Source organism: Homo sapiens, chromosome 7, assembly GCF_000001405.40.
Source record: "Homo sapiens chromosome 7, GRCh38.p14 Primary Assembly".
Lineage (NCBI taxonomy): Eukaryota > Metazoa > Chordata > Mammalia > Primates > Hominidae > Homo > Homo sapiens.
The window spans coordinates 43,276,261-43,301,776 of NC_000007.14; the positions used below are offsets into that span (position 1 = coordinate 43,276,261).

General features: G+C 44.3%; 1 protein-coding gene and 1 long non-coding RNA gene across 18 annotated transcripts in view, besides 2 other annotated features; one reads left to right on the plus strand and one right to left on the minus strand.

Moving 5' to 3' along the window:
- HECW1 (HECT, C2 and WW domain containing E3 ubiquitin protein ligase 1) overlaps window positions 1-25,516 on the plus strand; it is a 453,355-nt gene that overhangs the window by 163,614 nt on the left and 264,225 nt on the right. The gene's annotated exons all lie outside the window — the stretch shown is intronic.
- Window positions 17,232-18,167: an enhancer, noted in NCBI's record as "H3K27ac-H3K4me1 hESC enhancer chr7:43333091-43334026 (GRCh37/hg19 assembly coordinates)". NCBI's record gives its function as "activates a minimal SCP1, AML or CMV promoter by ChIP-STARR-seq in naive H9 embryonic stem cells {active_cell/tissue: H9 hESC(naive)}" and the evidence as "EXISTENCE:reporter gene assay evidence [ECO:0000049][PMID:30033119]".
- Window positions 18,168-19,102: an enhancer, noted in NCBI's record as "H3K27ac-H3K4me1 hESC enhancer chr7:43334027-43334961 (GRCh37/hg19 assembly coordinates)". NCBI's record gives its function as "activates a minimal SCP1, AML or CMV promoter by ChIP-STARR-seq in naive H9 embryonic stem cells {active_cell/tissue: H9 hESC(naive)}" and the evidence as "EXISTENCE:reporter gene assay evidence [ECO:0000049][PMID:30033119]".
- On the minus strand, window positions 21,083-24,051 carry LOC102724903 (uncharacterized). Its single transcript, XR_428133.5, has 3 exons — window positions 23,674-24,051; window positions 22,548-22,638; window positions 21,083-21,344 (listed from the first exon to the last, which is right to left on the minus strand). It is a non-coding gene; the product is annotated as an uncharacterized LOC102724903 (long non-coding RNA).

Here is a 25,516-nt window from a genome sequence, read left to right on the forward strand (position 1 = left end):
CCAGGGACATTGATTTCCATGTCAAGACTCATAAGCTCTTTGTGTGTGGGGGTCCCCTGAGAATTCCCCTTATGTCCCAGCAAGTAAATAGAGACCTCCAGTGATGCTGGTCCCAGTATGGCATTGATTTTAAAAGGATAAGTTTCTCACACAGTCGTTTGTAGAATTTAAAAAGAGACTACATTTTAAAAAATATATAGGTAATAAGATACTGGTCAAAATAAAATGCAGGTAGAAATTCACATTACAATTACTTTTAAAAATCATAAGTAGCCTGTTCTTTTCCTGTGTCATGTGGAATTCCATCATCTTTATGTCATTATAAATTATGCCTAATCCTGATAAAATGTGCCTTATTTATTTGATGATACTATTTATTTTTGCAAGTTTAAATGCTTTAGGCCAATGCAGTCTTCCCTGTCCACTGGCACACTCCAGGTTTGAAACTAGATCTGAAACTGAAGCTGACTGACGATTTATAGTACGTACAAAATTAGCTCAGCTTTCCTGTCTCCTGAGGAGCAAGTTCTTTATTTGGCACATGCTCCAGCTTCTCTGTTTTCTTAGTTTTACTTTTCCTAAAGTGAAGTCAACCACCTGAACCATACAGAATGCTCTGCAACCCTCCTTCACTCACGGAGCTTAGAAAGTGCGTTCAGCAGAAATACAGGCGTCTCTAATCCCACTTCGCCAGATTATATTTGTACTCAGAAATGTGTTGGATCTTCTCAGTGTTGGCCAGAAGCCTCATTTGGGTTTTCTCTTGGATTTTCAGGATGCTCAGGGCTCTTTGGTCTCCTCCTTTCTCTAGTCCTCCTCTTCTTTCTCTATCTAATGTAAGAACAGATTTTATAATATATGTGAAAGAGAAATCAGTTCATTCATTAGGTAAAATGTGAAGATGAACAAACCTCCCTTATCTCCTCTCCATCCTCCTACTCAGGCAATGGATGACCCTACTTCACACTTTGTTGAGACAATTGCAGGGATCAGAAAAGAGCTTCCACTGACTCCCACTGCCACCTGCCGCCATGACGCTGCCTCCCTGCCTTTATATGACAGGTGAACGGCCCGCATGTCCAAGCTTGTGAAACCCACCTTATCTTGTTGTTGTTGTTCCGTTTGGTTTTGTTTTAGGTGTTTAGCAGCCTGAAGCCATGGTTTTTCGTTTCTGTCTGTACTGATAAGCAGATAAGAGGGATGAGGAAGGGGCTTTACTGGCCCAACCAAAAATAGAAACTAAGAACCCATGACTGTATTCTCCGCCATGACTGGGACCCACCTGCACACCAGGCCTTGCCCTTTGCCACCTGCTAGGATGTCTTTCCAGCAGCTTCTCTCTCCCTCAGTTAGACCATTTCCGTAGGCATCCACCAGCAATTTCTCCCAGATCTTGTCATCTCCCACTTCCTTCTCCATTTACCACACATTGTCTTCTCCCCTCTTCCAGCAGAACTTCTTCCAAGAAGCATCTGGACTGCCTGAAGTTCCTTCCTACTCCCTCAGTAAAGTTGTTCTTGTTAGAACCACCAAGGATCTCCACTTTGGAAATTCCCCTGGCCCATTTTCAGCCCTCATCTTCTGTGCTGGACACGGTTGACTGTACCTCCCAGGAAATGCAGCTTGATGTGCTTCCAGGAAGTCATCATTCCCTGTTTTCTTTTTCCAAATTCGTGCTCCTTCTTGGGCTCTTTCCCTGACTCCCCCAGACCTTTAACTGTGGGCTGCCCCTGGGCTCAGACCTGGCCCTCTCCTGCTATCCATACCCTTCCTGGTGGTCGCATCTACTCTTGTGACTTGAAATAACATATATTGGCAGGTGACCCCCAAATGTATATGCCCATTTCAGACCCTGCCCCTGAATGTTCCCCTGAATATTCAGCTCCTGCTTGAGGTCTTCAACTGGGATGTCTTATAAGCATCTCAAACTTAAAATATTCCAGCCAACATCCTTATCTGATCATCAGCCATTTCAATCTTCCTCATGTCAGTGAACAGCGATTCCCTCCTTCCTGTTTCTCCGGCCAAAACCTGTGGTGTCATCCTTGACTCATCCTTTCTCTGCACCCCACATCCAAACCTCTAGCCTCAAAAATAGATCTGGAATCTGATCGTCTCTCGGCACATCCGCAGCTCCCACCCTGGTTCTAGCAAGCGGCAGCTCCCCCATCACTGCAGCGGCTTCCCACCTGCTCCTCCTGTTCCCACCCATGCGGCCCGTTCTCATCACAGACCCCAGCATGGGCCTTCTCAAAGCATGGAACATGTCACTTCCCTGTTCAGAGCCTCAGATGGCTCCCAGAGCCCCAACCATGGCCTCCGAGGCTCTATGTGATCTGATCCCCCTTTTGCCTTCTTTCCCCTTCCCCTCCTCTCTCTCCACTCCAGTCACATGGCCTCCCTGCCACTCCCCAGGTGCACCTGCTTAAGGGTGTCAGGCTTGGTCTCCCCTCTGCTTCCAGTGCTTTTTCCCTTGAGGTCTAAGTTGTCACTTCTCCTCCTCCTCCTAAGTCACCCCTAGGAGGTCTTTCCTGACCACCGCATTTACAATTGCAACCACCCACGCTCCCTAACTCCCTTCCCTGCCTCACACTCCACACCCTCATCCCTTTCTAATATAGATTATAATTTACCTAACTGTCTTGTTTGTAGTCTCCTCCCCATTAGGATTCAAGCTCTGTGAGGACAGAAATTTCTGTCTGTGTTTGCTGCTGTATCTGGAGTGCCTAGCATAGTCCCTGGCTTACAGGAAGTCAGTTGCATAAATGAATACATCCAGCAGTTTTCAGTGATTGAGAGCAAGGACAGTGTTATTTCTTTGAGCTGGGTTAGATTATATTTCCTACCCATTTATTTCAGATTCAACATTTGGTGTGGGCTTGAGGTTGGGTATTCAATTTGTGCTATGTGTAAGGGCATTCCCCTTCCAGCTGTGGGGACTCTGTGATAATGAACTGACTGAATAAGTTTTATTTTTATGAACTAATTTTGAACAAGTAGCAGACAAAGCAAAATGCTTCTCTGTGTCCTTTTTTTTAGGGTGTGGGAGGGATTACCTTACAGTTTCAATTGAGTGAGAAGAAGCATTTTAAATAAAATATTTGTTCATAAGCCAGAGGCCCTGCACTTTCATCAGATCCTGTTGCCCTCTAAAGTGTCCCATGGCATTTAGGCCAAATTGCAAATCCTCTCGGTGAGCTGCAAGGTTCTGCCTCATCTAGAGCCTAACCCGACCATCCACGCTCTTCTTTTTTACTATGCTGGGGCCTCACTAGTCTTCACTTAGTTCCTTGAACCTGTTGGGAATTCCCATCTTCATACCTTTGCACAGGCTATGCGTCTGCCTAGAATGTGCGCCCTCCTTGTCCCCATTTCATTTGTTCTGAAGCTGATGTGTTTTCTCTGCAGATAGCTCCTCTGCCACCTTCTCCAAAATATCTCCCACCTTGATTCTCTTATGGCACCTGATTTTTTTCCTTCATGGGGTATAGTAATTTGTAAGTATATTTTTATTGGTGTATTTGTTTCCTTGACTGTCTCCCTGAAACTCTATGTTGCTTGAGAACAGGGACCATTGCTTGTTTTGTCTAAACCACAGCAGTGCAGCGACTATTACAGTAGATGCTCAGTGGGCCTTTCCCCTTGGTCAAGAATCACCAAGAGCTCCCTTCACTGGGGAACTCTTCTGAGTTAGACCATCTTCTGAGACAGAGCATCTGCTGAAGACAGATGGTCTTCACAGCTCACTGGGGAGGCTGAAGAGGAGAAGGTCAGAATGGGATTGGGGTGGTCTCAGCATGGAAAGGGAGTGGTGAGTGAAGGGACCCTGGATCCTCTGATAAATCTCTGTCCCAGATGCTGGGTCAGGACTAGGAATTCTTATCACCTTTTCCCAAAGGAGTCAGATGCTCCAAGGAGAGAGTGCCTCCTCTAGGTAACACCAGTGGTGACAGAGCCCATCTGCACTTTTGGTTTAATCCAAGATCCTCATGGAAATAGCATCGTGCAGGAGTGCAGGGTCACAAGATGGAGTGGCGATTCCACCACTGAACACCTGTGACCTTACCCGTCCAGTGTCAGGGAGGGGCAGGACCTTGTGGATTTGGTCCAAATTTACTCTAGGAAATAGCAATCCACTCCAAAAAAGGGCGATTAAAATGCCGAGTCACACAGCTAGTTAACTGCAGAATGACAACTAGAACCTAAGTTACCTCAATCCCAGGCCACTGAGACGTAAGACAAGTTTTGCCAGCTTGTCTTTTATTTGATGAATTGTAGTTCCTGGTGAGCAGAAATACAAGGAGAAAAAGTTTTACAAATTTAAGCAAGAGCACAATAGCACACTTAGAAGACTTTTGAGAGGAGGATGAGTACTCGTGATAATCCCAGTACAATGAGAAAGCCAGCACCCCGTTTCTGTGATCTGAAATGGATCTCGGCTCATTCCCTTTACAACTTTGTTGGAAAGAGAACGAACACACAAAGGACCTCAAGACACTGCCAGAAAAGAACACTTTGAGACACTTGAAGAAAAGAACCCCAGCCAACTATATCCTCAGGTGGACAATAACACTCTTGCTCACTAGGAGCAAATGGGTTTGAGGAACAGGGAGAAGGCAGTTAAGAGAGGGGAAGTCTCCAGTTAGAGGAAGACTGGAAATGTAACCCAAATGCTGAGGTTTTCATGCATTCCCGACACAGTATTCTCTTTTCCCGTTTTGTTTGGGGCTGTTTCTCCCCCCATGAAAATTGGCATTTAAGATTTTTGATGGCTTAAGATTCTAGGATCCTGCACTCATTGACTGGGGGAGTGGAGGTGAGGCGATTTCTGACCCGCTGCTTCTCATCACAGCAGTTCTGCACCCCTCACCTCCGCCCACCCAAGCAAGTGGCAAAGAGCACTGCTGAGAGTCCCTTCAGCAGCCTTTGGCCCTGTCACTGCAGGAAGCCCCAGCCCGAATCATTTGCGTCATGGCCATCACTGTCTCAGGCTCAGCTCCAAAACGGCATCTCCTATCTCCTGTTTCCTGCAGACTGAGCCCCTCTCTGCGACTTGTTGCACCAGGCTCTCCACAGCTGGTGTCCAACAATAGCTGACATTGGGTGGACACCTGCTGTGTGCCAAGCTCTATACATGAATTAGCCCTGATTTTCAAACAACTTTATCGTGGAAATACAATTATTCCTCATTTACAGATAGAAAACCTGTTATTCAGAAGTTGTGCAATATCACAATAGCAAGGGGAGAGCTGGAGTTTAAACCCAGACCTGACTTCAAACACAAGCTCTTTCAAGTCTGTAGCCTCCTCTCCAGCCTCAGCTCTTCTTTCTCTCAGTCCACTCTCCCTCAAATGCACTGCAGCTAACAACCAGACTGCTTGCTAAGCCTCTTCTAGCTCTGCCTTCAGAATTAGATCCTCCTCTTTCTTTTTCTGTTCTCTTTCTTTGCTTTCTTTTTTTTTTTTTTTTTTTTTTTTTTAGAGAGACAAGGTCTAACTATGTTGCCCAGGCTAGTCTCTTGTATTCCTGGCCTCAAGTAATCCTCCTGCCTTAGCCTCCCAAGTAGCTGGGATTTAATATTATGGGTGTGAGCCACCATGCTTAGCTCAGAATTGGATTCTTATGGCATCCTGCATGTGCAAGAACTCAAAGTCCTGCCCTGCATCCTTTAAGTCCCAACATGTCTGACACTCTCTCCATGAGCCTTTTTCGAGTCCCTCATCCAGCTTAACTGTGTTTCCTTTCCAGCTGTCATAGAGCAATGTGACTTTATTGCACTCTGCCTCAGATATTAGTTGTGCAGCTATTTAGTTACAGGTCTAATTTCTACTGCTAGATTGAAGGACATGTATTTACAGCAGGAGCAATGTCTTGCTCAGCTTAGATCACTGAATGTGCCTCTTACGGCTGTGTGCATGGGTCACTTATGTCCCTCCAGCCAGGATGCTTAATGGGCAAACCCAGTTCAGTGGCTGGTGCATCACTTTAATGAACAGAGCAGGAGGAAAGGCAGGTGGCAGGACAAGGCAAGGGCTGCTGTGGCAAGGGCCCCGCATCACACTCTTTTTCGCTGACTTCACTCATCTGCTGAGAACTTCCTTCCCTGTGATGCCATCCGGATGACAGGAGCTGGCGACAAGGGTCAGATCTGCCTTCTGTAAAGTCGTTTCCAGCCCCTATGGGCATGTTTCTTGCCTAGTGTTCAGTGTTCACAGGCTGTCTCAAATCCCACTACATGCCAGGCCCAGAGCAGAGCAAGAATAAGAAGAGAGACCGAACATATGATTAAGTATTTGGAAGTTATAAAGTGAGACACAAACTGTTCAAGAAAATATAATAAATAGATATCATTAAATATATCTTTTAAAATTGTTAAATAAAATACCAAATTTAAATGCAAGTCACTAATAAAGCTGATTTTAAACACTTTCAATAATTATATTTTATTAAATATTATTATAAGACCATTTGCCTCTCTAGCATCCAACAGTCATCTAACTGACAATGTATAGAATCAATATTATGCTTCACAGCATGATATTCACAGCATATCTTGAACAGAAATTCCCAGTGTTGGCTGGGTGCGGTGGCTCACGACTGTAATACCAGCACTTTGGGAGGCCAAGGCAGGCAGATCACCTGAGGTCAAGAGTTCGAGACCAGCCTGGCCAACATGGGAAAACCCCATCCCTACTAAAAATACATAAGTTAGCTGAGCGCAGTGGCAAGCAGCTGTAATCCCAGCTACTCGGGAGGCTGAGGCAGGAGAATTGCTTGAACCTGGGAGGCAGAGGTTGCAGTGAGCCGAGATCATGTCACTTGTCACTGCACTCCAACCTGGGTGATAGAGTAAGACTATCTCCAAAAAAAAAAAGAAAGAAAGAAAGAAATTCTCGGTGTACAGTTTGGGGACCCCTGGAAGGCCCCCAGAGCCTTCAGTAAGGTCTGTAAGGTCAAAACTAATCAAAACTAATTTCATTGCAATATTAAGATTTTATTTGACCTTTTCACTCTCATTATCTCACGAGTGAACACCGGAGTTTTTCAGAAGCTCCATGAAGTGTGATAATCACAACCCATTGAAGTCAGAAGTATGTGTGAGAATCCAGCTGTCTTCTGTTAAACCAGCTCTTAAAGACATTTTCAGAAATGTTAAATGATGCCATAATTCTCACTTTTTTTAATTTTGGAAAATGTATTTATTTTGCATAAAATATGTTATCCATTTTATGGGTTTCTTATTGTTCTCAAATGAACCAATATAAATAGTTTGCATGTTTTGCCTTAATTTCTAACATAATAAATACTGATAGATATAAGCCACATAAATAAAAGTTCTTTAGCATCCTCAATAATATTCAAGATTGTTGGTCAGTCCTGAAACCAAAACGTTTACCAAGCACTGATTTAGACCTACAGATATATCGATGTAAGAGTAACATATATTGTTCAATATTGCAAAACGTCCCTCAAAGTGGGACCCCAAAGTAGGACCTTGACTTGGAAGAGGAAAAACATAAGACTGGACACAGCTGGGAAAGGATGCTTTTTTAATGCAGCAATCTATTTCCTCCATGTTTTCTGAGAGAAACAGTTGACAAGTTAATTAAATTGTCATTTCTCCTACCTGAGCGTGTCATTTCTGAAATCTTCCCCCAGCTGCGGCTGCCTTGAGTGTCAGGAGTGGAACAGCCACACCTCTTCCCAGCACCAGGATGCGTCTGCCCTTTGATTCAAGGACAAGGGAAGTAGAGATGTGGGGATTGAGTCAGGGGCCTGGGCTAATAATGGGGTCTCCAGCAGCAGGGCTCTCCTGTGTTTGAGATACGTGACTCTAAAGCAGGACCGTGGGGCGGGGACCCTTCTCACCTGGTTCTCTGCAGGCTGCCTAGTGACAGGTAATCTTATAGGAAATGGGAGGACTGTTTTTCCCAGATCTGAAATAATTTTCTTTTTTAAACATTTTTTAATTGACAAATGAAAATCATATTTCTTTATCATGTACATGTTGTTTTGAAATATGTGTGCATTGTAGAATGGCTAAGTCAAGCTAAGTAACATATGCATTATCTCACACACTTCTTATTTTTTTGTGGCGAGAGCACTTAAAATCTATTCTCTTGGGGCCAAGTGCAGTGGCTTATGCCTATAATCCTAGCAATTTAGGAGGCCAAGACCAGCAGATGGCTTGAGCCCAGGAGTTTGAGACCAGCCTGGGCAACAAAGTGAGACCCATTTCTACAAAAAAAAAAAAAAAAAAAAAAGACAGAAACAGAAGGAAGGAAGGAAGGGAAAGAAAGAATCTATTCCCTTGTCAATTTTCAAGATCAATACCTTGTTATTATCTACAGTTACCCTGTTGTACAATAGATCACTTGAACTTACTCATTCTTTCTATCTAATGTATCCTGTCAAATGTATCCTTTGACCAACATCTCCCCAATTTCCCTTCCCTGAAATAATTTTTATTCTATTCTTAATAAAATAATAACCTTATGAGGTACATTTACAAGTATTATTCCATTTTCTTTCCACAACAAACATGGGAAATCATATAATTTACATTTGATGTTATTAATGAGGAAATTGTGGAGGAAAAAGGTTAAGAAACACCCAAGGTTGCAGATCTGGCAAGTGGCAGAGCCAGGACTGCCCCAGGTCTTATAATGTGAAACTTTGAAGGGCTCTGATTTTATTCCTTTTGTGCTTTATTCACATTTATGTGCTTTCTGTATGGATTTTTTTTTTTTTGCTTTAAGGTTCTCATATTTGAATTTATTAAGTGTAGTTATATTAACTTATTATAACTTTTGGGTAAAAAATGGACCAGCTCTTTTTAAAAAGAGCAAGTCTTACTGCTAACTGGGTCTTGCTAGGACAATATTTATAGACACAGTAAAATGCAGCTCAAGACAAAAGGGGGAAATGGAACAGGTTGTTGTGAGAGCTTCCTGGGATTAGATATGTAGACAAACTGGATCAGGGTCTCACCTGTGGAGCTCTGAAAAACCGTGATACTCAGACCTCACCACTGGCCAGTTAAGTCAGAATCCCTGGAGGCTAGGACCCAGACATCTGCATTGGTTAATGCTCTTCAAGCTATTTCAACATGCATCCCAGGTTGGCAACCACTGGACTAGGAAATCAAAACTCAGCCTGCATAGGTCCATGAGGATCTCTGAAGTTCATGAGTCATATGCCACTTGGACTGTAACCATTCATCAGGAGTGCAGTCGGGAATGAGCCCACCCAAAGTCATAAAAAATAAAGAACCTACAGTGGTCCACACCTATAATCCCAGCACTTTGGGAGGCCAAGGCAGGTGGATTGCTTGAGCCTAGGAGTTTGAGACCAGCCTGGGCAACATGGCAAGACCCCATCTTTATTAAAAAATTTTTAAAAATAGCTGGGTGTGGTGGCTCATGCAGGTGGCTGAGGTGGGAGGATCTATTCAGCCCAGGAAGTCAAGGCTGCAGTGAGCCGTAATTGCACTACTTCACTCCAGCCTGAGTGACAGACCCCATCTCAACAAAAAATAAAATAAAATAAAATAAAATAAAGAAACTGAGTGGGCAAAATAAATAAATGACAGTGAGCTAGATAGCAAGCTAACTCTTTTTAATCCCAGGAAAATGCTTAGACATGAAGTAATAGATTATACTGAAAGTACTAGGAATCCAAGTTTTGGCAAAGGCCAGTGGTCTAAACACAAGAACTAGTTAGGGACGTCTTAGTCTATGTCAGTAAGTCATATGGCTTGCAAAAAATCAGAGACCACAGAGATAGATCAGAGAGACCTTCGAGCCATGTCCAAGATGGAAAGGACAAGCCAGAGGGTAAGTACATTATTGCCCTTGCTTTCAAGAGAGGAGCTCAGGACCCTGAGAGGGTGGATGACTTGGAGGGAGGGCAGGTAGAGAAATGAATTGAACAGAGAGATGATGAGAAATCAGCACAGTCCAAACAGACAAGTTTCCCTTGAAGAAAAGAGACCTCTGAGATCCAACTATTGGGACCACATGAAGCACAGAGCATGCAGCCCAGTGATAATGCCATCAAGACTGCCCAAGCCTATGATGGGGGTGCCCTATGACAGCCTTCCTTGATTTTGAGGCTAGCTTGGGTCCTCAAACCTTCAGAGATGTAGTGCAACCAGGATCGCTGACTTCTGCATTTTCCTTTCTCCTGATTGTCCAGTTGACCATTGCTCAGTTTTTACCCTGGGAAAGTAAATTTAATGCCAGTTTCATTATAGTAAATATTTAAAGGAATATTTAGTAAAAGTGCTGGCAAATGATAAGCTCTCAAAAATGGCAGCTATTATTTTTTCTTTACTACTTCTATTGGCAAATGCAGTTTTCGTTTGTCACTTTTTAAATGATTTTTGTGCCCGGTAAAAGTTCAAACTGCCACCCACCCCCCCAAAGGTGTTTGGGAGGAGGGATATCACCAACCAAGGCCTCACCCAGAATCACACCTTATAACTACTAAAAAGTCATAGTCTCGGCCTACATAGACTTTGAAAATTGTGGACAGAGTTCAGGAAGCTCCATATGCTACATGAATGCCTGCCTTTTGTTGAAGCACCCTGAACTTCATGGGTCATCATTTAAGTTGTCCATACTAATGAAATGTGAAAGTCAATAGATTTGAAGAATTTGCATACAATGATAGCAATGACATTCTCTCATTCATCCACTCAAAAGTTATTGAGTAATTTGCTGTGTCCCGGGCATTGTTTAATGATGGTTGGGGGTAGCGGGGAGTTGTTTAAGGATGGTTGGGGGTGGTGGGGAGGTACGTAGTAGTGAACGTAACAAAGTCCTCATGGAATGTACCTTGTTGTGAGAGGAAATGAACAATAAACTAACGGAGTGTATGTTTGTTTTCAGTGGTGTTAAATTCTGTAAAGAGAAATAATACAGGGAATAGGGAAAGAGAGTGAGCATGGCAAAGGATGTTACACAGGGGATTAGGGAGGAGTAGATGAGCAGGTACTGTGGAGATGCTGGAATGGAGGCCTGATGAAGGGAGAGCCAGAGGCCCAGAGATGTCTGGGGGTGCACATTCCTGGCAGTGGGAGTAGGGAGTGCAGAGGCCCCGAGGCAGGGTTGTGATGGGCGGGCAGGAGGAAGAGCCAGGAGTCCAGGGTTGCTGGACCCAAGGGAAAAGGAGGCAATGGTGGGAGAAGGAAGTCATGGAAGGTTTGGCAGAGGGGATGTGATCTGATTTAGAGTTCTTTTCATTTTCTTCTTTGTTTGGAGACAGGGTCTCACTATATTGCCCAGGCTGGTCTCCAACTCCTGGCCTAGAGTGATCCTCCTGCCTCAGCCTCCCAATGTGCTGGGATTACAGGCATAAGCCACCATGTGCATCCCTGATTTAGGTTTTTTAAAGGTTTCTCTGGCTGCTCTGTGGAGAGCAGAATGTAAGATAGAAGTCAGGAGACCTGATAGACCAGGTAAGAGATACTGGTGGCTGAGGCTGGGAAGATAGCAGTGGGAGACTGAGAAGTGGTCAGAGGACAGGGCAGATTTTGAAGCCAGCATTGTCTGGATTTAGACAGCTTGCATTTCAGCATTGGCTGGATTGTACCTGAGGAGTGTGAAGAATCATTAAGGATGCCTCTAGGTGTTCAGTCTGGTACCTGAAAGAATAGAGTTACCATCTACGGAGATGGGGAAGAGCACATTTAAGGCTGGGATAATCAAGAACTTGTTTTTGGAGGTGGGCTTGAGATGCATATTAGATATCCATGTAGACAGAGATAGTTGAGGAAAGCAACCCACCAGCACTCATTGTTAGATTTTCTGTGTGTTACAAATGGGAAACATATTCCCCTTGTCTTGTTTCATCAAGAGTGTTATATTAACATCTCTTCTTTCTCTAGGGCTTTTTCAATTAAACACACAGCCCAAACCACCAGGACTGAACTTTCTCAATGAGAAGAGGAGGGGAATTAGCTGGACATGCTGCAGTGAAGGCTGTAGGTAGTAGAGTCACAGGAGCTCTTGCAAATTAGACACATCTAAGTGACACTGTCAAAATCCGGGAGCAGGGAGGGAGGAAGGTGGCCATGTGTATTTGAAAAAAATCCCCAGGCAATACTGGTAGTATTCTTCTCTCTTGACATTTTTCTGCAAACATTGTAATAAAGCTTTCCATAATTTTAAGTTGAACACCCTCCTTAAAGAGAAAATGTGCACTGTGTTTGGTAAATACAGTCTTTGCTAGGAAAGGGAAATATACAGACTAGAAGATGAGATGTCACAAGGCAGAGCTTTGAGGCCCCGCTCTCCACTCACTCATCCTGTGGCCCCAGGCTAGTTCCTCCCTCAGTGCCCAGGCTTGTCTCTGAGTGGAGCCTTTATTTGACTCCCAGAGCCCAGGAGGATTGTGAGATGTGATAGCTGATAAAGCCTCTTATAAATTGGAAAATGCTGTGCAAAGGTTTTGTTGTCATTATTCACCCACCCTCTCTTGTCAGAGACATTTTTCTAAAAGTCCATTTTGCCCTGTTATTCTCCACTCTTCTGACAAATGTGCAGTGGTTCATCTCACCCACTGTTGGTAATTCAGCTCAAAGACAAATTCTTCTGCTGACATTCAGGGCTCCCCAGACCTGGCCCCAGCCTACCTCTCTTGCCTTATTCTTATATTTTAGTTACGGGGATATCCAGGTGCGCTATACGCAGTCAAATACAAGCTCCACACAGGCAGGGCCTTTTGTCTCTTTAACTCACCAATTTATCCCATGGCCTACAACAGTGCCTGGCTGGTACTAGGCATTTCCCAATTCCCATCCAGTGAAAGAATGGAGTGCCATCTCCAACACTTTCTCTTTTCTTTTTTTTTTTTTTTGAGACAGAGTATCGATCACTCTGTCACCAGGCTGGAGTGCAGTGGCGTGATCTCAGCTCACTGCAACCTCCGACTCCCTGGTTCAAGTGATTCTCCTGCCTCAGCCTCCCGAGTAGATGGGATTACAGGCATGTGCCACCACGCCCAGCTAATTTTTGTATTTTTAGTAAAGACGGGGTTTCACCATGTTGGCCAGGATGGTCTCAATCTCCTGACCTCGTGATCTGCCTGCTTTGGCCTCCCAAAGTGCTGGGATTACAGGTATGAGCCACCACGCCCAGCCTCCAGCACTTTCTAATGCTGTCCCTACATGCAGTGGCAGCTCTACCCTTACAGGGGTTGGGTTCCAGACTCTTTATGAGACCTCCCTGATGTTCTTACTTGTCTGAATGATAGCTTGGACTTTAGGAGGTCATGGGCTAGTGTGGAAGAGGAGGAACGAGGACCCTGGGGACAGTAATCCAGCCACCATTGGTAGATCAGGCATATGCCCATTGGCCTGGCCCATAGGTGGTCTTATTAACAGAAGAACAGAACTCTGTAAAATATTTAAAGAGGTTTATTCTGAGCCAATATAAGTGACCACTGCCTGGAAAACAATCTCAAGAGGTCCTGAGAAAGTGTGGCCCAGGTGGTTACAGTTTGGTTTTATACATTTTAGGGAGACAGGAGTTACAGGAAAGGACATAAATCAGTACATGGAAGGTGTACACTGGTTAGGCAGGAAAAGGCAGGACATCTTGAAGTGGGGGCTTGCAAGTCATAGATGGGTTTTAGGGATTCTTTAGTTGACAATTGGTTGAGAGAGTTGAGCTTTGTCTAAAGACTTGAAGTCAGTAGAAAGGAAAGCTTGAGTTAGGATAAAGCGGGTTGTGGAGGCCAAGGCCTTTGTTATGTAGATGAAGCCTTATCGGTAGAAGGCTTCAGAAAGACAGATTGTAAATGTCTCTTTTCAGAACTTAAGGTGTCAGACTCTTACTTAATCTCTCCTAGATCTAAGAAAGGTCTGGAAAGTGAAGGCCTGTCTGCATTCATGTAGATTCTCTACAGATGCAGATTTCCCCCTCAAAAGACAGCTTTGCAGGGCCATTTCAAAAGATGTCAAAGACATATATTTGGGGGTAAAATATTTTTATTTTCTCCAGGGTCTGCTATCTGTCATGTGATGTTATACCACAGTCAGTTTGGAAAGTAAGCCACATGACACCAAGATAAATTTTAAAAGCCTGTTTAATGAGATTTTATGGTTTGTAGGGTGTGACTTGCATTGCATGGCTTTAGGTTTTGTTTATAATTTGGTATTGGTATCTTATTGCCACAAAGAGCCTGTTCTGTCTATAAAATAGAGGTCTTGTGATTTTTAACCTCAATGCTGGTTAGCTGTGCCTAAACTCCAGAAGGGAGGGGGTATAACGAGGCATGTCTGGCCTCCCTTCTTGTCATGGATGGGAATTCCATTTTTCAGGTTCCTCTGGGGTCATCCTGGCCAAGAGGGGGTCCATCCCGTCAGTTGGGCAATGTCTGAATTTTATTTTTGGTTTACAGTCCCTAGGAGCTTGACAGGGACGTCATAACGTCCAGAGCCCCAGTGACAAGTAGTAGGGGATAGTCCATGCAGTCAGAGGGTCTCTGAAGCCAACAGGGAGTCCCCCACATGAGTGCCCATGGTGGGGCCCAGGGAGGCAGTGCTTGGGATCCAAGCCAGCTGTTGTCATGGTGGAGACCTAAGAGCCATGGTGGAACGAAGTTCCAGGAGCAGTTTTCAGTCCAGGGAGAATAGCAGGACGAGGCAGGGACCCCATCCCAGAGGAGCCAGGATGAAGTTTCCATCAAGAGAAGACTGCATATGGAGAATACTCACAGTGGTAACATGAACCATTGCCAAGAGAACCCCACCTCAGTTCCCTTTACTGTTTAGATCTGCAGGGGGGAAAAATAGTTTTCTCCTCCACGCTGTTATATGTACAATGTTTATTTAGAAACAGAATGCTTGTTCCGTGGTGCTGCAAAGAAATAGCACTCGAACATAAATTTAGTTCTCTCAGCAAGGCAATTTTTACTTTCTGCAGAAAGGGTACACCTGCTAGCAGTCTTGCTACGAGAGTACACTGAACAAAGGAAAAGCAGACATATTTATCCTTTACGCATTTGGATCATCCTTACTGCTGTGTCTTGCATCCATTGGCTGGAGCTAGACTTCACAATCTAAACTGAATTTGATTGGCTAACAGTTTAAAACTTTTTTTAAATAGGTAAAGGCAAGGGAGAACAAAGGAAAAGAGGAAGTTGCTTATGCCAAGTAGGGAAGGGACATAGGCTGCAAGCTGGAACGTTCCTGTGAGCATGTCCTGCACAAATATCTTGGTTAAAGTACAAGGACATAGAATGTACTTATTCCTTTATATTTAGCAGCTACATAGGATAGGGCTTAACAAAGAGTTATTAGCACAAAGCAAGGAAACTTGAAGGAAGTTAGTCTTTAAAAGAAACTACTATTTCTAACACTTACGATTTATTCTTCAACAACAAAGGAAACTTTGAAGAGGAAACTTTTTACTTTCTACAGTTCTTTATGAATTCTTAGCTGGGACTCCCTCTAACAAAAGACAGATTAACATTAACAAGAGAAAAACAAACAGAAGTTTAATAATGTATATCTCATCTGTTCATGGGGGAAAACTCAGAGAAATGGGTAAATCTCGAGTAGATTTCAAAGTATTATCTTAGAAGTCAGGCTTAAATAACATCGTTCTCCAATACAAAGAGAGAAGGGCCTAGGGAAAGGCCCAGTTAAGATTAGGAGGCCAGGAAAAGCACTTTAAACAAAGGTAAGGCTTTTTATGCAGTTTTAAGTCCCTGCCTTCTCCATTAATTCAGTCTCTAGTGATTCAGGGTCACCCTTCTCTTCCTGGGGCTGAGAGAGAGAAACTCTTACAAATGGAGATTTCCTTTATAGATGTAAATTTCTCTTACAAAAGGGTAACAGTTTCAGAGCTTCTCTGCATCTGCAGTTTCTCAAAATAAACAGCTCGAAATAATCCTTATGCCAAAGAGGCATATTTTGGGGTGGCATATTCTGGTCTCCTACAATCATATCTTAGGATAATGTGTCCTAAGCCCCATCACAACCAGCCAGGATGGTTATTCACCTGATGAAATGGAGGCTCAGAGAGGCCAACTAGCTTTCATAAGAACACATTGCTAGTTAAGTTTTACGGCCAGCACTTGTGCAAAGGTCTGTCCAGACCCAAAGCCCATGCTCTCTCCTCTGTATCACAAGGCCCCTGGAAACCAGCCTTGATAACAAGGCATCAGGGCAAAGGTGTAGTTATAAGAACAACTGAAGCCCAACTAATACCCAGGGTCACAAAGTCAGAGTAGAATAGAAGCCAGTTGTATTTTTTGCTGTGTCACCTGAAATTCCCCACCAAGGACTAAGCACAAGTGTGGCCCAGAGCCTGAGAGGGAGCTCAGGGGACAGCTGAGCAGTAAGTGGCAAGGTGTGAGGAGAGGAGGACTGGGAACAGAGCTAGGAAGGTGACCTTTGGTGACATACCTCTTCCATTCAGCACATGTCACCCAGCACCCGGGGCTCTTCTCTGAAGTTATGCATGTGAGGCAAACTTTCCTAGCAGGGTGTGAGGGCTTTGTCTTCAGCTCAGCCCCTATGATAGTACAAGGCAAAATCTGGATATGTCACTAGTAGAGGGTTGTGACTGCAAGTTGTCCAGGTTCTTGGCATTTTGAACAAAGAATTGGACAAAATGCCCAGAAAAGCAAAGAAAGAATGAAGCAACAAAAGAACGAAAGCTGGGATTTATTGAAAATGAAAGTACGTCACACCTGTAATCCCATCACTTTGGGAGGCCAAGGCGGGTGGATCATGAGGTCAGGAGATCAAGATCATCCTAGCTAACACGGTGAAACCCCATCTCTACTAAAAATAGAATTAGCCGGGCGTGGTGGAAGGCGCCTGTGGTCCCATCTACTCTGGAGGCTGGGGCAGAAGAATCGCTTGAACCCGGGAGGCGGAGGTTGCAGTAAGCCGAGATTGTGCCACTGCGCTCCAGCCTGGGCGACACAGCGAGACTATGTCTCAAAAAAAAAAAAAAAAAGAAAAGAAAAGAAAAAAAAGAAAATGAAAGTACACTCCACAGTGTGGGAGCAGACCCGAGCAGCGGTTCAAGGGCCCGAATACAGAATCTTCTTGGGTTCAAATACCCCCTAGAGGTTTCCCATTGGCCACTTCATGCTCACCTCCTGTAACTGAAGTGGTAGCCCACAATCAGTCTGATTGGTTACAAACAGCCAAATTCCCATCTGCAGTGCAGACAAGGTCAAAGGGAGTAGCCTCTGGTCCTTTTGTTACTTAAGCATGGAAAGTTAGGGTTTTCCTTTCAATTTAGTCCTAGGAAGTCGGCATGAAACAACCTTAGGTTCCCTGTCTCCAGACCCTATTCTGCTGCCTCAGATACGTGTATCAAATAATGCGCCATTTCTTGTAGCTTCAGTCCTCAACCTTCAGCATCACATGCCTAAAGGAGTGCTCCAGATCTGAAGAAAGCCTCTAGTGTGGTGGTAGGATTTTGTTTTTTAAATTAGAAACTTTAATTTTAGTGCATTATATAACCTTTAAACCCTTAGGGCAGGGGTCCTCAACCCCTGGGGCACAGACTGGTACCAGCCCATGGCCTGTTAAAAACTGGGCCACACAGCAGGAGGTGAGCAGCAGCAAGCAAGCGTTACCACCTGAGTGCCACCTCCCATCAGACAAGCAGCGACATTAGATTTTCGTAGGAGCATGAACCCTATTGTGAACTGCACATCTGAGGGATCTAGGTTGCATGCTCCTTATGAGAACATAAGTAATGCCTGATAATCTGAGGTGGAACAGTTTCATTTTGAAAACACCCCCCACCACACACACTGTCCTTGGAGAAATTGTCTTCCATGAAATCGATCCCTCGTGCCAAAAAGTTTGGGGACCGCTGCTGCAGGGGCAAACTCTCATGTGCATTGCAGTGGAAACCTCTCAGTGAAATGCACTGTTTTCCAAACACTTTGAGCTGCTCACTCCCAAAAGGAAAAAGGGTGCTGCATCTCCTAGGACCACAGAGGCTCTGGTGCCTTTGGCATGTCCACTAACTGGCTTTAAGAGCAACGTGTACATCCACACAGGTGACCTGACCACAACAGGGAAGATCTCCAAGACAATGGCAATAGTCCTGCAACTAGCTGTTCCCATGGGGGGAGGGGGGAGGATGAGAGAGGGAGGGTGTTTCTAAGATAGCATTTTCTTGGCAGAGAGAGGTGAAGTGACTCAGCCTCCCAGGAGCCTTCCAGAAGTCCTGGGGAATCAGCTGCCACTGTTGCTGTAAAACTAGCTCCTCCCGGTCTCACTGGATGCAGTCAGAAAAAAGCAGATTATTCACCTGGCTAATACTTGGCTCCTCGGTCCCCATCCCAGTCCCAGCTTCCAGTTTTGTGGCTGTAGCAACATTTCCTGAAGGGGTCAGGACTTATTTGATTGAACCTGCTGACATTGGGAGAGCCTAGTCTTTGGTCAGGATTGTGCAGCAGGTGGAAGAGAGTTTAAGCCCAGGTCAGTCTGACTTCAAAAGCTTTTGTCCCCATAAACCAGAAAGTATCTGAGACGGGTCTCAATCAATTTAGAAAGTTTATTTTGCCAAGGTTAAGGATGCACCTGTGACGCAGCCTCAGGAGGTCCTCACAACATGAGCCAAGGTGGTCAGGGAACAGCTTGGTTTTATACATTTTAGGGAGACGTGAGACTTCAATCTATATGTGTAAGATGTACATTGTATAATATGTAAGATGTACATTGATTCAGTCCGGAAAGCAGGACAACGCCAAGCAGGGAGGGGGCTTCCAGGTCACAGGCAGATAAGAAAAAAACAGTTACATTCTTTAGAGTTTCTGATTAGCTTTTCACTGAATACACAATTTACAGGAATAGTCACTTATGCCTTAGTCTGGCTTAGTGAAACAATAGGGCAAAAAAAGAAAAAAATCAGGTATGCATTGTCTCGTGTGAGCAGAGGGACGACTTTGAGTTCTGCCTGTTATTTGTCCACAAGGAATTTCCTTTTGTGAGAGAGGGAGGGAGGTGTATATCATTTTTATAGTTGTGAGGGAGGTATATAGCTTTTTTATAATTGTGAGGGGGGTATATGGCTTTTTTATCTTTGTAGCTATCTTATTTAGGAATAGAATAGGAGGCAGGTTGGCCCAAGACAATTCCCAGCATGAATTTTCCCTGTGGCTTAGTGCTTTTAAAGTCCTGAGATTTATTTTCCTTTCACTCTCCCAATCTTTATGTTCAGGGATGTTCCACTGTCATGCCATCCTTGATGCAGACACCAATACTGAATACGGAGAAGGTCCCACTCCCCAGGGGGGCCTGGATCAGCCTGCTGTTGGAGGGAGACTTTCCCTAGAATGAAGACAAGACCAGAGGGCAGGGAGGCAAGAGGCCCAAGGGGGAGGGGAGGAGTGGTGGAGGAGGGGCTGGTGGCGGCAGTGGAACATCTGCATGACCTACGTATTTTCCAGCTCCTTTAAAGACCTTAGAAGAGACCTTTGTTTATATCCCACTATCTCTCAGTCTCATAGCTCTAAGCAATAATTCCTACATCACTTTGGTAAGGGAGCTTTTTCATTGTAAGCCCATTTATACTCATACCAGATAAACAGAGAAAGATGCAATAAACTGTTTTCCAAAAGTAGTGGCATCTATGACATTGACGTATTGTTTTTAATCATTTTTTAAAAACTCAAATCTATAGACAAATTGCTGCTTTTGACTTAGATATTTTCATTGGCCCATGGTCATGCCTGCTTAATTAGCATTACTTATAATGGAGAAAAATTAAAGAAACCTAAAGTTACAAAAATAGAATTACCTTGCTAATTATATTATAAATATTCATGTGTTAAAATGTTATGGTTATTGAAATAATTTTGTGATATATTTGTAATCACATAAGAGGAATTCTTCTACTATAATAGTTAACCATTTAAAAAAGCAGAATACAAAAATGTGTGGTCCCAACTATCTTGTAAAACGCATGAAGGAAAAATGCAGGAAATATTTCTGCATAATTATTCTGGTAGTCTCTGTGTTACATAATTATGGGGCCTTGCTGTTTTTTCTTAATTTTCTGTATTTTTCAAATTTTTAGCATGGACTGGTTTTCCTCAAAAGTCCCGACTCTGGACTTCTCTCAGGCCTTTGGAATTTGCAGAGTGTGGCTCAGCTTTTCTTGTTGCCCAGGAAGGTCTATGGTGTGTCCTCCTAGTGGTGACAGTGAGGCCCCTGGTTCATGACAAGACACACACTCATGAATGCTCAACTCTGAACTTGGCGGCGCAGCTGTGGACGCAGCTGCGGAAGCCTCAAGTTGAAACATGAGCCCTCCTCTCTCCTCTCTCAACCCTGGTGCTCTGATGTCCAAGGAAAATTTATCCATGTCACTTTTGTTTGTCTTAATTCAGGTTTATGGCTCCTTTGCATCATTCTGGATTGAGAAATGAGGCCAAATGCGAACTAATGGAAAAAAGTAAGGCTGATGAGTTCATTTAGAAATGAACTGTTCCAACAACGTTCTTCTTGACATCTCTCAAGAGGGCCAGCCGTTCAGGGTGCACTTTGCGGCCTCCACAGCTCTGCTCCTTGCTGGAAACATCCCCCTTCTGTGTCCTCCACTTGCCCAAGTCTGACCTGTGCCTTCAAGGCACTTAACATGCAGTTGTTGTTGAAATATCTCAAGGTGACTATACCTCCCCTTTGCAGCTTTTTGTGACAACCACCAATTAGAGACAGTGATGGCCTCCTTCTGAGTGCTTGCCTGCTGGTCAGAACCAGGCTGAGCTGATGCTTGGTAAAATATAGCTGCCTGGGCCCCATCCAGCCTATTGAATTAGAATCTCCAGGAAGAAGGCTGTTTTATTTTTAATTTTGTTTTCATCTCATGCATTCAGCTTTTTCTGCCTCATTTGTTTTGACCTGAGAACAGAGATCATATGCTGAACAACAGCTAGCCCAGAGCTTTACAAACAATAGATATTCAATGGATGTTTGTTCAATTGAACTGAATTAGATACAGTCAGAGCAAGGGCACATTTCAGTCCTTAAGTTGGAACCCTTGCCAAAATGTCACAATTACACTTGTTTGTTTGTTTATTTATTTCTAACACTTCCTAATCAGCAGGTAGAAATTTATTAATTATGAAAATTGCTTTTTATCATCTTTCAGATTGTTTTTGCATGCTGCAAAACAATGTCTTCTGTGGACATTGAGACTGTGGATGTGTGTGGCCAGTAGTCTCTAGGGATAGTACTCAGAGTGGTAGCCAAGGAGAAGAGTGGTTCAGGCACACTCAGAAGGTGCCATTCTCCAAGGTGGTTGGCAGGGATGTCCAGGCACCAGTCACAGCAAGGATCCATCATGCCTCCGCTGCTCCTGTAATCGAGATGAAAATTACTGCCCAGATTTTGATGGACACTCTAAGACTGAAAAATACAGCTGCATTGGGTTTGGCTCTAAGGATTCTTCTCCAGTGTGTTTATAAGATGGCAATTTAAACATATATACAGTGGAGTCACTAGAAAACAACATAGTGATTTTTCTAAAAAAAAACTAAATTGGGTCAGGCATGGTGGCTCACGCCTATACTCCCAGCACTTTGAGAGGCCAAAGCAGGAGGATTACTGGAGGCCAGGAGTTGAAGACCAATCTGGGCAGCATAGAGAGACCTGTCTCTAGAAAAACATTTTTTTAAATTAGCCAGACATGATAGTACATGACGGTGGTCCCAACTACTCAAAAAGCTGAGGCAGAAGGATAGCTTGAGCCAGGAATTCGAGGTTGCAGTGAGCTTTAGTGGCACCACTGAACTCCAGCCAGGGTGACAGGGTGAGACCCTGTTTCTGGGGAAAAATAGGAAAAAAAACAATTTAGATTGGATAGGACTTAGAGTATGTGCCCTGGTACCTTTATATTCTAGTTGGAATAGAGTGCACCATTCGCCCTGTCTGGAATATTCACCCCACTCTCTCCCTGCAGTGGTGCTTTCTTCTAACAACCTCATTTTGGCAATTAGGTATGGAAAACTCCATAGAATATTTGGAGTTATTAAATTTTCACGCGAATAAGTCCTAAATCTCCAGGGCAGAGGCCATGATTTCTATTTCAGTTCATTTTCCAGGGTTTGGCATGTGCATTTGTTGACTGAATAAATAAATGAAGCCCTGCTGGGAAATGCACCCTTAGCAGTTTACAGTCCCCCTGACATGTGCTTCTAACTGCCTCCAAGTAGTATTAATAAAGCAGTAGTCATATGCCAGCCTCCGACTGGGGATCATAATTGAGGCACTGACATGATGAGTTTATCTCTGATAACCGATGGCAATGAGACCTGTCCTTTGCAAAGAGCAAAGCCCTAGTCTTGCAGTGTGTGAGGCATTAAGACTCAGTAGCATGTACCTGTGGCTCTAGCTTCCTCAGCACTGATGTTTCCTCTTGGAAAAACCCAAATTACTTTCATTGTCTCACTTTCCTTTTAATACTTAGTCTCTTGGAGCTTTGTAGAAAGCCTGAGAAGCAGTGTGAATGGCAAGTCAGGGGCCTCGCTGCAATGAGCTGGTCTCCGTTGCCACCACTTACCACGAGGTGCAGGCTCTGTCTGCCGCCCCCACATCTCGAGGCTCCTTTCACAGCTCTTATTCTCTGGAGCGAGACCGCACTTTAATCTCTGCTGTTTTCCGCATACAAGGTAAAAAATGGAAAATTAGAGATGTTATCTGAATAATTAATTCAAGCCTCAAATGAAAAGGAAATTCTAAAATATCCAGATCATTGAGACTTCTGAGTTTCTATTAGTCTGGACATAGATGGCTTGTCTTGTAACCAGTGGAAATGGCAGTGAGTGCCCTTGAATCTATTACCGTATCCTCGAGGCCAGAGATGTCTAAGCATCAGCTTACAAGTGAAAAATGTCTTAGTGAGATGATAATCATCGGTTTGCCATCTGATAATTGCTACAGAGAGTCAAGGAGGTAGTACCAATTCAACTGTTTATCTCATGGAATTTAATGTGAACCTATACTACACTGTTGAGCAAAGATTCCACGAGGCCGGAATCGGTGGGAGAGGCCGTGGGGCTGGTACCTTCCCGGTATCTTTGGTGTATATTTGGTGCATCTTTGGTGTATCAGAGACAAGCTTAGGAGATGGTCACGGGCATCTAAGCAATAGAGATGGACTGCACGAAAACCGTGCCTTTTCCCTCATCTGTAAAATTGAAAATACTGTCCAAAATCCCACAGCAGACTATAGCTTTTGTCCGTGAGTTCAAAGGTTCCAAGTTTAGTCCTGCATAATTGAGAAAAAGACTTAAAAAAAAAAGTTTCCAAACTGCCTCAATTGTTGTCCCTTCCTTTTAGCTCTGAAAAATCAGAAAGATTAGCTGTGTGGAAAATGTCAGAAGAGACTTTCTGTTAAATATGTTAAAGAATTTCAGCAGTAAGTGTCGCCTGAGACGTTTAAGAAATCATAGTAGCTAAGTGTCCCCTTCCTTTTAATGTTCTTCTAGAACCCAGTGAAACTTTGGACTGAGGTGATTCCTCCACACTCCCAGCCCACATCACAGAGTCTTAGTGATCATTTCTCCTTTGCTGTCAGAGCTGAGTATCAAATCCCATTTTTTTGTTTTCAAAATAGAATTGTTCCTTTCTTTTACCATTCCCCTGAATAATTGCTAATAAAGCAATATGCCACTCATCTAGGTCACCTGATTTGCTGGTTTTGATCACAGGGATATCTTGATGCTGTTGGACTTTTCCCCATGGAGCTCTTACTCTGTTAGACAGGTGTCCATTCTGCTGTGGCTCACTTAAAAAGCAAGGCTTTGTCTTTGCCTCGTTGTGATTTCTTTCTTCTATCAATGTTGAGAGCTTGACGGAGGTGCTGGTGGGTTAATTCTCCTCCTTATCCTTTCAATTCCCCCATTCTATCCTAAATCACTACAGATAGGCCTATTCTATACATATATTGCCAGTTCTTCCTTATTTCCTTCCTCTTCCAATAGGAATCTCTTGAGGTAAACCACCTCTGCCAGTCCTCCTATCACAGCCTGCTGCTGAGATGGTGCAGCCTGGTGTGGCTAAGGCGTGTGGCAGCCAGAATTGGAACTGAGTGACAGTTAGAGCTAGAAAGAGCACAAGAGTGGGCAGAGTGATGACAGGGAAGGAACCTGGGAAGGAACGTGCTACCTGTGGCCCCATCTGGAATATGAACTGGCTTTGTCTCCTTTCAAGGGTGGAAGAGGGATAGAAGAGGGTGGAAGAAGGGTGGAAGGAGCGAGAGATTCCTTTATATTGCCAATATAGGTATGAAATGTAGGAGAGAGAGATGACTTTATATTGCTAACGGCCATGCCTGCTTCACTCTTCATCATGGCTCTAAGTTGCTCTCATAAATGCTCTGAGACATCAACACTGAATTTATATCAGATATGGCCGTGTTCATCCGGGGCACTTTGATCACAAAAGGAAAGTGCTGCTGCTGCTGGTTCAACCCCACTGTGTACTGATGATGGGCATTATGGTTCATAATCCCAATGACTGGCACACTTATCAGAGCTGCAGTCCAACATGGGGCCTTCTTCTGGCTTGATGGGTGATCTGGAAAAGCAGGTACGATGACCTCCCACACTGATGTGAGAGCTGCACACTGTCCCTGCACCCGCCCAGGAGCCGCCCCTGCTACTTTGTCAGTAACTTCTGCCACGGTGCCACTTGTTTAGACTTGAGGGACCACTTGATTGGTAAAGCTTCTCCCTGCATGTAGACCTTGGCATTCAGGAGAGCTATACTTGGGCTCCCCAAGACACAGCAGCTCTGTCCACCTTGCTCTCCCCCTCATTGCTGCAGTGTGAAGTTTCTAAGGTGAACAAAACCTCCGTGGCCCCCCACTCTCCAATGGAGAAGGTCTTATTTCTTGGTGTGCCATGGGAGACCCCTTTCACACACTTCCAGCTGCCCCCAACACTGTCTGGCAGACAGCTAAGAGGAGCTCTGCTGAATCTGGAAGCTCAGCATGCTTCTAGTAAAGATACGCTTTTCCACGAGAAGTTCCTTCTGCTTAGATTGGATTTCCCTCAGCTCTTGCCCCTTCCTTCCAGGTCCAGCTTCCATGTCCTCCCATCTGGGAAGGTGGTCCCAGCATCTCTCTCCCTTCTAGGGGGGACCATGCCCACCACCCCATTATTGCCCTCACCATTGTGTCATAGTTGACTGCTTAAATGTCTGCCTCCTGCACCAAACTCTCCGAGGCTATGAGCACTGTTTAAGTCCTCTCTGTATCCATACTCAGCATTTAGCACAAGGCCTGGTACACACTAAAGACTCCATCCACATTTCCTGATTGACTGGGCTAAAGGAAGGAAGAAGAAGCCAGATGCAGTGGCTCACGCCTGTAATTCCAGCTCTTTGGGAGGTCAAGGTGGATCACTTGAGGTCAGGAGTTCAAGACCAGCCTGGCCAACATGGTGAAACCCCTTCTCTACTAAAAATACAAAACAATTAGCCAGGTACGGTGGCACGCACCTGTAATCCCAGCTACTCGGGAGGCTG